We start from the raw sequence: 19,186 nt of genomic DNA, 5'->3' as shown, positions 1-19,186 counted from the left end.
GAGTGAAGGGGGAGGTGCTACACATTTTTAAACAACCAAATCTTGTGAGAACTCACTATCGTGAGAACAGCAAGGGAGAAATTAGCCCCCATGATCCAATCACCTCCCACCACACCCCTCCTCCAACATTGGGGATTGCAATTCGACATGAGATTTGGGCAGGGACACAGATCCAAACCCTATCAGGCATCTTGCAAACCACGGCACAATATCACAGCCAGGATACTGATGTTGACACAGCCAAGACACAGAACAATTCTATCACCACAACAATCCCTCATGTTACTCTTTTTTAGCCACATCCACCTTCCTCCTGTACTCACCGTTTCCATTTCTATAATTTTTATCATTTCAAAATGTTGTAGAAATGGAATCATACAGCATTTGACGTTTTGAGCTTGACTTTTTTTCACTCTGCATAGTGCCCTTTAGAGCCATACAAGTTGTTGTGTGTATTGATAGCATTTTCTTTTTTACTGCTGAGTAGTATTCCATCATATAGGTGTACCACAGTTTGTTTAACCATTCACCCAGAAGGACATCTATTTCCAGATTTGGACTATTACCAAAAAAATTTCATATACAAGTCTTTTTGTGAACATACTTTTTTCTCTGAGATAAATGCCTGGGAGAGTAAATGCTGTTTCAAATGATAGTTGCATGCTTATTTTTCAAGGAACTGCCAAACTTTTCCAGAATTGCTGTTCTATTTTACATTCTCACTAGCAATGAATATATGAATATTCTAGTTTCTCTGAATCCTCACTAGCATTTGGTTTTGTCCCAATTTTTTATTTTTGCCATTCTGATAGGTGTGTGATAATAAATCATTATGGTTTAAATTTGGATTTCCTTGATGGTTAACAATGCTCAATAGCTTTTTTGTATTTATTTGCTATATCCTTTTCAGTGAATATAGCACGTCTACTGAATGAAATGTCTTTTCACTTTTTTGCGTCCATGTTCTAATTTTATTGTTTCTTCACTGTTGAATTTTAAGAGGTTTTTTTATACATATAGTCTAGATACTAGTCTTCTGTCAACTATGTGGTCTGCAGACATTTTCTCCCAGTCTATAGTTTGTCTTTTAACCAGTTAACAGGATCTTTTAGAAAGCAAATTTTTGATTTTGAGTAAGTCCAATTTAGCAATTTTTCCTTTTATAGATAATGGTTTTGGTGTTAAATTCGAGAACAATTTGCCTAATTCTAGATTCCAAAAATTTTCTCCTTTCTTTCTTAAGGTTTTATAGTTTTACATTTTATATTTAAGTCCATGATTATTTTAGTTAATTTTTGTTAAAGTGTGAGACTTTGGTTGAGGTTCATCTTTTTATTGTCTGTGGATGCTGTTGAGAAGGCTTTCTGCCATTGAATTGCTTTTGTGCTTTTGCCAAAAAGCAGTTGAACATATTTGTGTGGGACAGTTTCTGGATTCTTTCCTCTGTTCCACTGATCTATGTGTCACATCAAAGTGATTAGCACCAATACCTCATAGTGGAGTACTGTGGCTATATAATAAGTCATAAATTAGAATGACCACTTTATTAGTCTTTCAAAAGTTGTTTTAGCAATTCTAGTTCCTTTGCTTTCCTATTTAAATTTTAGAATAGTCTTGTTTACATCACAAAACATCTTGATAAAATTTTGATAGGTATTGTATTAAATCTGTATATCATTTTGGGAAGAATTGACATAGTTGACTATGCTGAGTCTTAAAATCAATGAACATGGTACAACTCTCCATTTTTAAGAGATCTTCGATATCTTTCATTGGTACTGTATAGTTTTCAGGGTACAAGTTTGCATATATTTTGTTGCATTTATAACTAAGTCTTTCTCTTTTTAAAAAATAATTGTAATGATAATGCATTTTAAACTTCCGTGTCTCTGTTCATTGTTAATGTATAGAATTACAGTGATTTCTGTATATTATCTTATATCCTAAGATCTTGATGAGCTCAAATGTTAGTTACAGGAGCTTTTCTTTTAGATTCTTTGGGGTTTCTTACATACACAGTCGTATCATCTGCAAGCAGGGAAAACATATTTTTTTCTCTTGTGATCTCTATGCCTTTTATTTCCTTTCCATGACTTACTGCACTAGCTAAAACTTCTAGCACAATTTTGAATAAGAGTGGGGAAAATAGGCACCCTTGCTTTGTTTCTGATATGAGGGGGAAAACATTTAATCTTTCACTATTACATACAATGCAATCTGTAGCTATTTTATAGATACTCTTTAAAGAGTTAAGGGAATGTCCCTTTCTATTTTTTCTCATCATTTTTGTTATAAATGGTTGTTGAATTTTGAAAATCTTATTCATCTTTTTTGGAAGACTTTCTTTTTGAGCAGCTTTAGTTTTATGGCAAAATTGAGAGGCTGTTACAGATATTTCCCATATGTCCTCTACCCCATATATGCACAGCCTCCCCGACTATCAACATTCCCCATCAGGGTGATACATTGTTACAACTGATGCACCTACATTGACATATCACTATGAACCGAAGCCCATAATTTACATTAGGGTTTGCTCTTGGTATTGTAAATTCTATGACTTTAGACAAATGCATGATGACATGTATTCATCATTATAGAATTATACAGAGTGTTTTCATTGCCCTAAAAATCATCTTGGTTTCACTCATTCACTCTCTTTCCTGCATCAAACCCTGGAAACCTCTGATCTTTTTACTGTCTCCATAGTTTTGCCTTTTCTAGAATATCATATAGTCAGAGTCATACAACATGTAGCCTTTTCAGATTGGTTTCTAATATGCATTCTAGTTTTCTCCATGCCTTTTCATGGCTTGATAGTTCATTTCTTTTTGGTGCTGAATAGTATTCTATTGTCTGGATGTAACACAATTTATTCAGCCATTTACTTACTGATTCACATTTATTCACATCTTGGTTGTTTCAGAGTTTTGAATTTTGATAAACACTTTTTCTGTATCAATTGCTATGATCATATAATTTTCCCTCTTTAGCCTGTTAATATGGTGGGTTGCATTTATTGATTTTGAGATATTGAACAAAGCATGGATTTTGAAATTTTGAATATTGAATCCCTGGAATAAACCCCACTTGGACATGGTGTATAGTTCTTTTTATATAGTGCTAAATCCTATTTGCTAATATTTTGTTAAGTATTTTTTTGTGTCCATATTCATGAGGAATATCAGTCTGTAGTTTTATTTTTTGTACCATCTTTGCCAGATTTTGGTATCAGAGTAATACTAGCTTCATAAAATGAATTGGGATATGTTCTCTTATCTTCTATTTTCTGGAAGAGATAGTGTAGAATTGGTGTTAATTCTTGTTTAAACATTTGGTAGAACGTCCAAACCATCTGGTCCTAGAGATTTCTTTTTCGGGAGCCTATAAATTATAAATTCAATTTCATTAATAGTTATAGGGATATTCAAATTATCTGTGTCATATTAGGTGAATTGGGGTAGTTTGTGTTTTTGGAGGAATTGGTCCATTTTATCTAAGTTGTCACATTTATATATGTAGAGTTATTGATAATATTCTTATTATTCCTTTTGATGTCTGCAGGGCCAGTGTTGATGTAACTATTTCATTCCTGATATGGTAACCTGTGTCTTCTCTGTCAATTTTATTGATTTTCAAAGAATCAGCTCTTAGTTTCATCGATTTTCTTCATTGGTTTTCTGTTTTCAGTTTCATTGGTTCCTGCTCTTATCTTTATTATTTTCTTTCTCCCACTTGCTTTGGGTATTTTTGCTGTTTTTCATATGAGGTGGTAATTTAGATTATTGATTTGAGACTTTTCCTCTTCTCTGACAAATGCATTTAGTGCTATAAATTTCACTCTTCACTCTGCTTTAACTATGCCCCACATTTTTGATAGGTTGTATTTTCATTTTCATTTAGTTAAATGTGTTTTTAAAATTTCCCTTGAGACATTCTCTTTGGCCTATGGATTATTTATAAGCGTGTTTTTTAGTTTCCAAATGTCTGAAGACATTCTTGTTCTCTTTCTATTATTGATTTTTAGTTTTATTTCACTGTAACTGGAGAACACAATCTGTATGATATTTATTTCTTTAAATTTGTTGAGGTTTGTTTTATGGCAAAGAATACGGTCTACGTTTGTATATGTTCTGTGGGCATTTGAAAAGAACACATAGTCTACTGTTGTTGTGTGGAGTGTTCTATTAGGTTCTGTTGGTTGATGGTGTTGTTGAGTTCTTCTATATTGTTACTTATCTTCTCTCTAGTTGTTCTATCAATTGTTGAGAAAGGAGTGTTGAAGTCTCCAACTATAATTGTGAATTTGTCTGTTTATCTTTTTACTTCTATCAGTTTTGCTTTACATATTTTGCAGCTCTGTCGTTTGGTGCATACAGATTTAAGATTGCTTTTTTTTTTTTTAGTAAATTCATTCTTATATCAATATATAGTGTCTCTCTCTGTCTCTCGTAATTTTCTTTGCTTAAGTCTACACTACCAAATATTGATATAGCTCTCCTGATATCTTTTGATTAACATTTTTACTATACAACTTTTTCCATCCTTTTTCTCTCAACTTGCCTATGTTGCTCCATTTAAGTGAGTTTCCTTTAAACTGCGGATAGTTGGATCATTAAAAAAAAATTCACTCTGCCAATTTCTTTTGAATTGGTGTATTTAGACCATTTAGATTTAATGCAATTATTGACATGTTAGGGCTTAAGAATATTTTATTTTTTTGTTTTCTGTTTGTTTTCCCATTTTTCATTTATTTGTTTTCTTTTCTCACCTTTTTTTGTGTTACTTAAACATTTTTTGGAATTTTATTTTGAATTATCTGTACTGTTTTTGAGTGTGTTTCAATGTATATTCTTTTTAGTGGTGTTTCTATGGTTTACATTTTATTTTTAAAAAATTATTTATTTACTTGTATTTCTTATTGGTATATTATTGATGTACATCTTTTTGAGGGTACATGTAATATTTTGATACATATATACAATGTGGAATGATCAATTCAGAGTAAAAATTCACATTTTATATATATGTAATTTATCACAATCTACCAGTGTTGCCATTTCATTATTCAAATTAAGTGTAGAGACTTTACTTCCTTTTATGTCTCTTTTCCTTCCTCATTTATAGTACAACTGTCTCAGTATTTCTTCTGTGTATATTTAGAATGACATCAGTTGTGTGATAATTTTTCCTTCAACTATCAAACATAATTAAGAAAACTCAAGAGAAAGAAAACCTGTTTTATTTAACCATGTGTTTCTTACCATGTTCTTTCTTCCTTTTTGGTCTTCCAAGTTTCTTTCTTTTATCATTTCTTTGTGGTTTAGAAAACTTTTGTTAGCTGTTCTTTTAGGGTAGATCGTTTGACAAGTTTCTCCTAGGTTTTCTACATCTGAGGGTGTCTTGATATCTTCATTCCTAAAAAATATTTTTACTGGGTATTAAGTGTTAAATTTTAAGTGTTAAATAACTCTTGAAATATTAAGTGTTAAATGAAAGTACCACTTCATTTTTTCTTTCAGGGTTTCTGATGATAAATCCACTATTATTTAAGTTGTGGTTATTCACATAGTTATGGTGTCATTTTTTCAAAAATTTTCTTTGTCTTTTTAAAAAAAACTTAATTATGACATATTTTAGTTTATAATACTTTGTATTTAGACTGTTTGGTTTGCTCAGTTTTTTGAATCTGTAGGTTTATGTCTCTTGCCAGGTTTGAGAAGTTTTCAGCTACTATTTATTTGAGTACTTTTAGCCTTAATTTTTTCAAACTTTAAATTATTTGTGTATTTATTTTAATTTTTAATTTATATGGATACCTAACAGTTTATGGACTACATGTGATATTTTGATATAAGCATGCAATGTGTAATGATGAAATCTAGACAATTGGGATTTTCACCACCTCAAACATTTGTTTTTTCTTTGTGTTGAGAATATTCCAAATCTACTCTTCTAGCTATTTTGAAATACGTAATAAGTTATTATTAACTATAGTTGCCCTATTGTGATATTGAACACTAGATCTTATGACTTCCAGCTGAATTTTTGTATCCATTAACCAACCCCTCTTTATCCCCATCTCTTTACTACCTTTCCTAGATTTTGGTAACCACCATTCTATTCATCATCTCTATGAGACCAATTCATTTAAAGCATGTTTGTAATTGCATGTCAAAGCATTTTCTATTATTTCTGCTCTAAAATCTAAGTCAGATAATTCTAACATCTCTGTCATCTCAATGTTGGCATCTATTGATCATCTTTTTTTTTTTTCCTAAACTCAGTGGAGATTTCCCTGGTTCATGGTATGACTAGTGATTTTTTTTAAATTTATTATTATTATACTTTAAGTTTTAGGGTACATGTGCACAATGTGCAGGTTAGTTACACATGTATACATGTGCCATGCTGGTGCGCTGCACCCACTAACTCGTCATCTAGCATTAGGTGTATCTCCCAATGCTATCCCTCCCCCCTCCCCCCACCCCACAACAGTTCCCCGAGTGTGATGTTCCCCTTCCTGTGTCCATGTGTTCTCATTGTTCAATTCCCACCTATGAGTGAGAATATGCGGTGTTTGGTTTTTTGTTTTTGCAATAGTTTACTGAGAATGATGATTTCCAATTTCATCCATGTCCCTACAGAGGATGTGAACTCATCATTTTTTATGGCTGCCTAGTATTCCATGGTGCATATGTGCCACATTTTCTTAATCCAGTCTATCATTGTTGGACATTTGGGTTGGTTCCAAGTCTTTGCTATTGTGAATAATGCCACAATAAACATACGTGTGCATGTGTCTTTATAGCAGCATGATTAATAGTCCTTTGGGTATATACCCAGTAATGGGATGGCTGGGTCAAATGGTATTTCTAGTTCTAGATCCCTGAGGAATCAACACGCTGACTTCCACAATGGTTGAACTAGTTTACAATCCCACCAACAGTGTAAAAGTGTTCCTATTTCTCCACATCTTCTCCAGCACCTGTTGTTTCCTGACTTTTTAATGATAGCCATTCTAAGTGGTGTGAGATGGTATCTCATTGTGGTTTTGATTTGCATTTCTCTGATGCCAGTGATGGTGAGCATTTTTTCATGTGTTTTTTGGCTGCATAAATGTCTTCTTTTGAGAAGTGTCTGTTCATGTCCTTCGCCCACTTTTTGATGGGGTTGTTTGTTTTTTTCCTGTAAATTTGTTTGAGTTCATTGTAGATTCTGGATATTAGCCCTTTGTCAGATGAGTAGGTTGCAAAAATTTTCTCCCATTTTGTAGGTTGCCTGTTCACTCTGATGGTAGTTTCTTTTGCTGTGCAGAAGCTCTTTAGTTTAATTAGATCCCATTTGTCAATTTTGGCTTTTGTTGCCATTGCTTTTGGTGTTTTAGACATGAAGTCCTTGCCCATGCCTATGTCCTGAATGGTATTGCCTAGGTTTTCTTCTAGGGTTTTTATGGTTTTAGGTCTAACATTTAAATCTTTAATCCATCTTGAATTGATTTTTGTATAAGGTGTAAGTAAGGGATCCAGTTTCAGCTTTCCACATATGGCTAGCCAGTTTTCCCAGAACCATTTATTAAATAGGGAATCCTTTCCCCATTGCTTGTTTTTCTCAGGTTTGTCAAAGATCAGATAGTTGTAGATATGCGGCGTTATTTCTGAGGGCTCTGTTCTGTTCCATTGATCTATATCTCTGTTTTGGTACCAGTACCATGCTGTTTTGGTTACTGTAGCCTTGTAGTATAGTTTGAAGTCAGGTAGCATGATGCCTCCAGTTTTGTTCTTTTGGCTTAGGATTGACTTGGCGATGAGGGTTCTTTTTTGGTTCCATATGAACTTTAAAGTAGTTTTTTCCAATTCTGTGAAGAAAGTCATTGGTAGCTTGATGGGGATGGCATTGAATCTATAAATTACCTTGGGCAGTATGGCCATTTTCACGATATTGATTATTCCTACCCATGAGCATGGAATGTTCTTCCATTTGCTTGTATCCTCTTTTATTTCCTTGAGCAGTGGTTTGTAGTTCTCCTTGAAGAGGTCCTTCACATCCCTTGTAAGTTGGATTCCTAGGTATTTTATTCTCTTTGAAGCAATTGTGAATGGGAGTTCACTCATTATTTGGCTCTCTGTTTGTCTGTTGTTGGTGTATAAGAATGCTTGTGATTTTTGTACATTGATTTTGTATCCTGAGACTTTGCTGAAGTTGCTTATCAGCTTTAGGAGATTTTGGGCTGAGACAATGGGGTTTTCTAGACATACAATCATGTCGTCTGCAAACAGGGACAATTTGACTTCCTCTTTTCCTAATTGAATACCATTTATTTCCTTCTCCTGCCTAATTGCCCTGGCCAGAACTTCCAACACTATGTTGAATAGGAGTGGTGAGAGAGGGCATCCCTGTCTTGTGCCAGTTTTCAAAGGGAATTCTTCCAGTTTTTGCCCATCTGGTATGATATTGGCTGTGGGTTTGTCATAGATAGCTCTTATTATTTTGAGATACGTCCCATCAATACCTAATTTATTGAGAGTTTTTAGCATGAAGTGTTGTTGAATTTTGTCAAAGGCCTTTTCTGCATCTATTGAGATAATCATGTGGTTTTTGTCTTTGGTTCTGTTTATATGCTGGATTACATTTATTGATTTGCATATATTGAACCAGCCTTGCATCCCAGGGATGAAGCTCACTTGATCATGGTGGATAAGCTTTTTGATGTGCTTCTGGATTCGGTTTGCCAGTATTTTATTGAGGATTTTTGACTAGTGATTTTTAATTGAAATTTTTTCATATGATATTATGAGACTCTGGATCATATTTAAATCTCTTTTAGCTGGCTTTTGCTGACACTGCTTTAAAAGGGAAAGGGAGCATTTCTACCTTATTACTGACAGGGGGAAGCAGAAGTCCAGGTTCTCCAGTCAGCCTCTATTGGCACCCAAGGCAGGAGCTGTTCTTTACTGCTGGGTGAGGTTGGGAGTTCTGGCTCCCAGTGTGCTCTCCACTGACAGTGCAGTGGAGATGGTCTTGTTAATTCTGAGTGATAGTGAGGTCCTGATGTTCCACTAGGCTTCCTCTGACACCACCCCAGCAGGAAGGTGGAGAAATGCCTTGCTACTGATGGGTTAGAGTAGAAGTCCAGGCTGTCTATATGGTCTCCACTGGAGGTGTGTGGGTGAGGGAGGTTTTCTTACTGGCTGATGGAAATGAAGTTCTGGCTCCCTACTTGGCCTTTCCTGATACCACCTCAGCAGGGAAGTTGAAGTCCCTTGTACAGCCTGGTGAGGGTGGAAGTCTAGGCTCCTCAGTTGACTTTTGTTAGCATTTGTGTGAATGCAGCTATAGGCTTCCCAGTGATGTTTGTTTGCAACAGAGTGATTGTTGTTCAAAATTTTCTGTCTTGCTACCTCTTTCCTGCTCCTTTGTTTATAGAGAGAGGGCTTTTGTTTGGGCTTATTTTATCTTTGGTGTCTCTGGGTTGCCAGTTTCTTCAACCCCGAGTCTGAACTACACAGGCATACCTGTAAGATATTGTGGGTTCAGTTCTACACCATTGCGGTAAAGCAAATATTTCAATAAACCAAGTTACACAACTTTTTGGCTTCTGAGGGCATGTAAAAATTATCTTTATGCTATATTATAGTTTATTAAGTGTTCAATAGCATTGTGTCTAAAAAACAAAGTAGGAACCTTAATTAAAAAACACGTTGTTGATAGAAAATGCAACCGATCATCTGAGCCTTCAGCATGTCATAATGTTTTTGCTGGAGGAGGACCTTGCCTTGTTGTTGGTGGCTGCTGGCTGACCCAGGTGGTGGTTTCTGAAGGTTGGGGTGGCTGTGGTAATTTAAAAAGTAAGACAACAATGAAGTTTGCCTCATCAATTGATTCTTCTTTTTATGAAAGACTTTCCTGTAGTATGCAATGCTGCTTAATAGCATTTGACCCCTGTAGAACTTCTTTCAAAATTAAAGTCAATCCTCTCAAACCCTGCCACTGTATCAACTAAATGTATGCAATATTCTAAATCTTTTGTTGTCATTTCGACAATGCTTACAGTATTTTCACCAGGAGCAGATTCCATCTCAAGAAATCACTTTCTTTGCTCATTGACAGAAAGCAACTCCTCATCTCTTCAAGTTTTATCATGAGATTGCAGCATTTCAGTCACATCTTCACCTCCACTTCTAATTCTAATTCTCTTGCCATTTCTACCACATCTGCAGTGACTTCCTCTCCTGAAGTCTTGGAGGATGTCATCCGTGAGGGTTGGAATCAACTTCTTCCAAACTTGTGTTAATGTTGATATTTTGACCTCTTTCCATGAATCAAAAATGTTCTTAATGGTTCTAAAATTGTGAATTCTTTTCACATTTCAATTTATTTTGTCCAGAAGCATCAGAGGAATCACTAACTCTGGCAGCTATAGCCTTACAAAATATATACATATATATTTTGAGGCAGAATCTCACTCTGTCACCAGGCTGGAGTGCAGTGGTGTGATCTCGGCTCACTGCAACATCTGCTGCCTGGGTTCAGGTGATTCTCCTGCCTTAGCCTCTCGAATAGCTGGGACTACAGGCATGCACCGCCATGTCCAATAAAATATATTTCTTAAATAATAAGACTTATAAGTTGAAATTACTCTTTGATCCATGGACTGTAAAATGGATGTTGTGTTAGCAGACATGAAAGCAGTATTAATCTCCTTGTACATCTCCATCAGAGCTCTTAGGTGACTAGGTGCATTGTCAGTAAGCAGAAATATCTTGGAAGGAATTTTTTTTTTTTTTCCTGAGCAGTAGGTCTCAACTGTGGGCTTAAATTATTCAGCAAACCATGCTTTAAACAAAAATGTTATCATCCATGCTTTGTTGTTCCATTTGTAGAGCACAGACAGAGTAAATTTAGGATTTTCAGAATGGTAATTGAGAATTGGCTTCAACTTGAAGTCACCAGCCTCATTAGCCCCTAACAAGAGAGTCAGCCTGTCCTTTGAAGCTTAGAAGCCAGGCATGGACTTTTCCTCTCTAGCTATAAAATTTCTAGTTGGCATCTTTTTCTAATATAAAGTTGTTTTACCTCCACTGAAAATCTGTTGTTTAGTGTAGCCACCTTCATAACTTGTCTTAGCTAGATCTTCTGGATAACTTGCTGTAGCTTCTATGTCAGCACTTGTTGCTTCACCTTGCACTTTTGTGCTATGGAGAGAGAGACAGCACCTTTCCTTAACCCTCATGTACCAACATGTGCTACCTTCTAACTTTTCTTCTGCAGCTTCCTCACCTCTCTCGGCCTACAAAGAATTGAAGAGTTAGAGCTTTGCTTTGAATTATTATTAAAATAATAATAATAATAATAATAATAATAGTAGTAATAAAAGTTTGAGTTATTGTGAGAATTACCAAAATGTGGCACAGAAACATGAAATGAGCACATGCTGTTGGAAAAATGGACTTGCTTAAGGCACTGTTGCCATAAACCCTCAGTTAAAAAAAAAACAATATCTAGAAAGTTTCAGAAAGTGTAGCACAATAAAATGAAGTATGCCTGTATGAGACAAAAGGAATACACTGGGAACTCATCATTGTGTTATTCTTTAGGACATAAGGTATCTAAAGGTCTTCCTTCTTCTCTTTACACCTTTCAGTTTTCTTCTGTTTGCTTTGTATATAACTCCAGGATATTTAATTATACAGTCAGCTCCCCATATCCACAGGTTCCACATCCATAGATTCAGACAACCACAGCTAAAAAAATTAGAAAAAAATTAACAACACAATATAAATTAGTAAAAATAAAAATACAGTTAACAACTATTTACACAGCATTTACAATGTATCAGGTATTATAAGTAACCTAGAGATAACTTAAAGTATGTGAGTATATTATATGCAAATATTATACCATTTTGTATAAGAGACTTGAGTATACAAGAACTTTGATATCTCTGGGATCATGGAGTCAATCTTCCGCAGACACTGAGGGATGACTGTGCTTAGCTGGAGGAATGGGGAAAGTATATTTACTTCATCTTCCCTGAAGCAGAAATCTCATACTTTTAATTTTTAATCTATCTTTGTCTTTATATGTGCTGTGGGTTCTTGCAGATAGCATATTGTTTAGTGCTACCCCACTCTCTTTCTGTAATCCAAGCTGGTAATGTCTGTCTTTTAACTGATATGTTATACCATTGTACTATTCACATGTAACATGATTATTGATATATTTGCCCTTAATTTTACTACCTTGTTAGTATTTTTCTATGTGTTCCATCTATTTTTCATTTTTTCCCACTTTTCCTGTATACTTATGGGGTATAACCAGAGTGTACCCTTAAATAAAATTATACTACTTCATGTGTAGACTAAAAACCTTACAGTCATGTATTCCTGGTTTCTTCTTCCCATTTTTATGCTATATAGCACATGGTATAAACATTCAATACATTGCTACTATTTTTGCTTTAGACCATTGGTTATCTTTTAGAATAAATAAAAATGGAAAAATTTAAGTTCTCTTAATAGTATTTTACTTTTACATATTCCATTTCTTGACCTTTTATTTCTTTGTGTAGATCCAAGTTTCTGTCCTGCGTTATATTCTTTTTGATTGAAAAACATCCTTTAATATCTCCTGCAATGTAGATCTGCTGGTGGTGAATTTCCTGTTTTTGTTTGTCAGGCAAAGTATTTCCCTTTTATTTTTGAAAGACATTTTCATTTGGTTGACAATTTTTATTTCTTTCAGCACTTTGAAAATGTTACTCCATTGTTTTCTACCTTTCATAATATCTTAAGGAAAATGTGATATAATTTTTATCTTTATTCTTCTATATAATGAGTCTTTTTTTCTCTGGCTGCCTTCAATATTTTCTCTTTGTCTTTTGCTTTCACCATTTGACTACTCTATGAATAGATGTACTTTTTGTTTGTTTCCTTGTTTGTCTTGGCATTTATTCTGCTTGGTATTCTCTGAGTTTCTTAGATTGGTGGTTTGGCATCTGTCATTAATCTTGGAAAATCCTTGATGATTATTTCTTCATATATTTCAACTGCCCCATTATTGCTTTCTTTTCCTTCTGCCATTACAATTGCCTGTTTATTAGGCCATTTGATTTGTTTCACAACTCTTGGATTTCCTGTTCTGTTTTTCTCTTTGTATTTTGTCTATGTGCTTCAGTTTGAGTAATTTTTGAGATCCTCAACTTCCTTGCTTCTTTAGCTTGTTGACATTGTTGATAAGCCAGCTAAATGCATTTTTCATGTCTGTTACTACATTTTTCATTTCCAGCATTTTCATTTTGTTTTTTTAATAGCTTTATTTCTCTGCTGATATTATCCACTAAGTCTTGCACCTGGTTTGCCTTTTTCTTTAAAGTCCTTATACTTATTTAAAATTCACTGTTGCATAGTCCCCACATATGTGTCATACCAGAGTCTGGTTCTGATGGTTATTTTTTCTTCAGGAGAGGGCAGTGTGTTGTTTTTTCTTGCCTCTTTGCATGTGTTGTAATTTTTTGTTGAAAGACAGACATCTTGTGAAAGACATTAGACATTGAGGTAAATATTTTTCTTGCCTGAAAAAGAGAGATATTTTTCTTTCTGCTAAGCCTTTAGAATGGTTGTTTGAATAAATATAACTAGGAGTTGGGCTGGATTTGAGGTTTTTGTTAGGGCTATGCTTAGTGAGTTATGGACTTCATATTTCCCTAGCAATGTCGTGTGTTTAGGGTAGAGGCTGGTTTTCCATGAGAGTATTTTCAATGCATGCTTCACCCTCGAGCCTAAGGTCTTCACTGTGCCTTGCACTGAAGAGAAGCTGTGTCTCCTGCAAGTTTTATTCCATGCTTGCTAGCCTAGCCATGGCAATGAGGGAGACACTCTTTTGTTCTGATTGAGCTTCCATCTTTGGCAGGCACTGTGTCCCTGGGCCTCAAGGACTGGCCTTTTTCATGCTGGATCTCTTCCCCAATGTGGTTCTCTTCAGCTAGGGGTGGAGGAATGTTTTTTTCCTGTTACCTTTCTCCAGTTACAATGGGTCTTCACCAGTGCCCTGAGGGTGACAATATTTGTGGCCCCACCAGTTAAGGCTTTTGTTCCAGAAAGGGGGAAGAGAATAAGGGAGGCTCTCAGGAGTCTCTCAATCTTTTCTGTGTGTGCCCAGTAGGGTTTGTAAGAGACTTGAGTGTGGACTCCCCCAGTTCTTGCACCATCTACAGGCTTAATGATCTATCACCAGTGCCCTCTTATCCTCCATCAACTTGCCAATTCCTCTAGCTGAATTCTCCTTACTACTGTCCGAATGCCTCTTGTTAAGATAAACTAGTTTATGCCTCATATCTCTCCTGTAGGCACGTCTCTCCTTAGATTTAGGACCTGTTGGTTTCTCTGTGAGCTCAGCACTCCAGTTGGTCCAAATCACAAACCTGATCGTTTCTCTTTATTTGTTGTTGTTGTGAAGTGGGGTAGTCATTCTTTCCTGATCACTATCTCTTTGATAGGAAAATAGAAGTGTGAAATAATATATTTTTAAAGTGTTTGAATTTTTATTCTAGTTATATTCAGACAAATTGCTACTAAAATATGAGGACATAATAAAAATATTCTCAGATGTTTGTCACAGAGAGACACTTATTGAAAATAGTTTCGGATAAAATATTTAAATACTAAAGAGAATAATCCAGAATATTTTATCAGTGTAAAAAAAGCAAAGGTAATAAAATACCGAAGTGTATTGTCTTTAAAAAAGGAGAAATTTATTCATGGTGATGTAGAATTAAATATGTTGAGTAATAGAAATATGATGGGTGTCGAGAGAATATCAAAGAATGTAAGTTCTATTTGGTTAGAGGAAAATAATATTTTTAGAAAAGTAAGAATAGATGGATAAATTCAGAAAAATGTGGAATAAGCCAAAAAAGTAAATTATGTGGTGGAAATAGGTTCAAATATATAAATATAACAATAAATGTGAATAGACTAAACTCATCATTTATAAAACAAATATTGATAGATTGGAGCAGGAAACATCCACATACAGGTATAGTTGCAGATTTTTTTCACCAGTTCGAATATTTCTGGTGGAGAGTTCTCTTATTAGCCAAACTTTATATAACATACATACCTCCTAGCACAACATTTTTCATTCAATATTTTATGGAGAAATTTTATATTTATACCCATCAAATTCAACTAAATTCCTTGTAAAATGATTTTAATAAAAATAAGAAGTTTTTTTCTTAATACAATTGGTGGAGTCATGTGTAGGGATTTTGAAAATCTTGACAAGTGGTAGCAAGAAGAACATTCATTTTGGATGTTGCTGAAAGGCATCTCAGAGTTAGACTTAGCTGAGTAATTCTCTGCCATTGTACGCTTCAAGTGAACATGTTTCTCCAGTGTATTTCATATTTAGCTTAGTGTTGCAAGATAAGTCCCCAGGAAAGTTGAGAAAATGTTGAAGGAAATCGTGGAATAGGAAGCAAAATGAATAAGAAAAATGATCAAATGGAGGGGAGATATTACTGCGAATGAGGAAACGTTTTGTTAATAACCATGTTGAGTTTTGATGATTGAGAAGGGATGTTTTAAATATTTTTTAATCTAACAAGTTTGTTACTGGCATATAGGCATTTTATTGTGCATATTTATATTTTAGGAAATAGATCAGCTAGTTTTGGTTGATGTGTAGTATATTATTGAAAAAACAAAATAATGCAGATTGTGCTTCTGATTTTTGTTTTTGTGTAGGATGCCTGATAGTCAGGAACAAATTGTTGAACCTAAATGGAAGTTGCCTGTATATAAGGTAACATGCAAAGGTTGAAAATGAGAGGATTTAAGACTTTAAGGCATTTCTAAGGATGAAGAGGATCATTACCTGGTAAAAAAGTGTTCAGTTTATTAAAAGGATGTGTATCCATTTAATAAAAGTTCTTCAAAATCTATGACATAAAAATTGATAGAGCTACAGCAAGAAATCGATAAATCCACTTTCATAGTGGGAGATTTCTACATACCATTGTTCACAATTGATAGGTCCAATGGGCCAAAAGCAGCAAATATATAAGAGCTTTCAGCAACACACTTAGTGAGTTCTGAATGGGACGCTTTATTACTTTTGGTTATATCACTGCCAAAGGGTACTTCTGCCCGTTCTCAAATTTTCTGATGTATGAAGATTTTAACACCTCCTTATTTGATGAGGAAGTTCTTCCTTGCCTTGTCTCTCAATCTTTTTTATCCCATGGTTTCCATCTGTTGGTTTTAATTCTACTCCATTGGAGCCTATGGAAAAGGACATCCCCATTCATGTGACGTGGAGCAATCTGTTGAGTTCTGTTTGTATATGGTGCAAGGGTGTGAGTTCATTTTTGTGCATATTCAGTTGTCCCAGGACCATTTATTAAACAGACTATTCTTTCCCCAGTGAATTGCCTTGGCACCTTTGTCAAAATCAGTAGACTGCAAGCACAAGGATTTATTTTTGGACTCTCAATTTTGTCCCACTGATCTATATTATTTTCCCCATCCCAGTACCATGCTGCCTTCATAACTGTGGCTTTACCATAAGTTTTGAAACCCAGAAGCATGAGTACTCCAAGTTTGTCATTTAAAGAGACATCTTGTTTTGGATTTTGTATTTCCATATAAATATAAGTTTTACAATCTGGGCCAGGCGTGGTGGCTCACACCAGTAATCCCAGCACTTGGGAGGCCGAGGTGGGCAGATCACTTGAGGTCAGGAGTTCAAGACCAGCCTGGACAAAAATGGCAAATCCCCATCTCTGCTAAAAACACACAAAAAAATTAGCTGGGTGTGATGGTGCATGCCTGTAGTCCCAGCTACTCAGGAGGCTGAGGCAGGAGAATCACTTAAACCCAGGAGGCGGAGGTTGCAGTGAGCCAAGATTGTGCCACTGCACTCCAGCCTGGGCAACAGAGTGAGACTCTGTCTCAAAAAAAAAAAAAAAAAATTTACAATCTGCTTGTTAATTTCTGAAAAAAAAAAAAAAAATGCTGCTGGCATCAGGGGTGGCTTATTACACAGCAATGGATGGCTGAGCAAGCCCGTTTACTCACAGCCTTTTTATCATGTACCAATGTCTCAGTCTTCCTCCCATGAGCTGCTTCAAAGCCACCTGTCTCTTATACAGTGGGCCTCTTTTTTTCTTTTCTATTTTTTTTTGGACTCATGTGAAGTACTTCCCCTTTCTATCAATTACATTTTATATGATTAGGTTTTGTTGGAAATTTGAGCTAGTCAGTCACCAGTTCTAACATCTAGTGTTTCTCCTGCGTCTCTCACCTGTAGGTCATTTACAATTTAAATAACCACACTTTTGTGTACCTTTATGCGAGAACTGAATAAAAATTGTTGGGCAGATCAGGAGAGAGCCCTGGACCCTGGTGGGAACCATAGAATCCAGTTGTCTCGAGCTGCTACTCTGTGGCTCGACACTCTAAAGCAAGAGTTGGAAACTGGGGAAAACTACTGAGAAACTTCAGGAAGAGTGAAGTTTTATGTGGGGGCAAAGCAGAGGTCTTCTGAGGGACTTTTTTTGTCTTTGCAAGTGCAAAAGATTACTATTCCTTTTGAAGAACAAATAATTCAGGGATAAGATCCCTTCAGCTTTGCCTCATAAAAGATGACTTACGGCAAGATCTCCAGGCAAAAGAACACGTCTTTTTGGAAACATGCAGGACAGCCGAGTCACAGAATGTACTTCCTCAGTGAAAGCTGGGAGGGAAAGATCAAGATCACAACAGAAGAAAGGCTTCACCCCACAGTGCTAGAAAAGCTGCCTGTGGGGAGGCTCAGGCAGTCTTTTTGCAGTTGCAAATTATATTAAGGAAAAAAGAGATTTGAGGGAGAAAAATTGACCCACTAATAAATGAGAGGATGAATTAATGCTGACTCTCCACTGCCTGGGACTCCCAGCACACTTGGCAAATCAGTTCCCAGCAAGAAAACAAAGCTATGTGGACAATTAGGAAATAATGAAGACCTGGCGGGACTAGCAGCCGACAAAAATGAGGTGGCGTTTGGGAAAGTGAGACATAGAGAATCTGAATGGATGGAGAGCTGGCTTGTTTCGTTTCTCTCTGCCTCATTCCCCTCTCTGTCTGATAGGCCATTCAGTGATGAGGGAATTCTGGGAGATTATTGTCTCCCTGGGAGGGAGGCTTGTTGAATCCAACTCTCAGGGCCGCACTAGCAGGTGTGGAGGACGGCACCTGATGAGGAAGGTCTCAGGGGACAGGCGGGAACCCAGGCTTCTCCCTCATGCTGTGATCTTCAGGCAAGACGCCAGGGCATCCGCGTCTGCTGGAACACAGGCATACTGGATACCTGACCCATTTCCTATTCCTCTTCCCTGTGGTAACAGCATGAACCAACACCTCCTTTGGGAGCCGACCCTTCCCCATTCCTTGGGCTTTTGGTGGGGCTGCCGATCGGAGAACCCTGTCTTGCTGAGTATAGGGATAAACCTGTATGTAACCCAAGCCAGGCCAGCCTGAAACAATCTGTCTTAGACTGAAGGGACGATGAGGTGACAAAGAAGGTCAGAGTTGAGCTGCCCAGGCCCACATCTGAGAAATGCCGTGATTCATCCTGGCCTTCCTGAGGCTTAGATGTTGATGGCTTTCAGTAGTTTTGTGAGGATTGCCAGTGTTCGTCCTATAAATACATTTCTTCCTCTTAAGTTTGTTTCGTTGTTTGGTTTGTTGTTTTTAACTAAAGAAGGCTATCCAATATCAGGGGAGAGGCAGACAGAAAGCTTCAGGCAGAGACGTAGAACCACTCTATTGTTTGTTGCTGAGCAGGGGCAGCACTTGCCGCCAGTGAGTGGGGTGCACAGCAGTTCTCCAAGCCCCTGTTTAGGAATGTGGCCCCTGGCAAGACCCGGAGTGCAGGCTGTGCCGTCTGCCCCCTAGTTTCTAGTTTGCAGTACAGACTCTCCGTCTGTCTTCTAGGGATATTTCTAGAGCAAAGAAGTGCTTTGATGATTTTGGAAAAATGACTGAAAATTAACTCCAGATAGTATGAAAAGCTGGGCCTCGCCCCTTTAGCCAGGCCTAGGGATCTCAAAATATCCGACAGCGACTCATAGGAGAATGGCAACTTCTTTGCATTTCTGATTCTGTCACACTCTTCCATACTGATTTCCCAATCTGGTCTAGAAAGG

Source organism: Homo sapiens, chromosome 11, assembly GCF_000001405.40.
Source record: "Homo sapiens chromosome 11, GRCh38.p14 Primary Assembly".
NCBI classification, from domain to species: Eukaryota; Metazoa; Chordata; class Mammalia; order Primates; family Hominidae; genus Homo; species Homo sapiens.
This window is presented reverse-complemented; position numbering follows the sequence as displayed.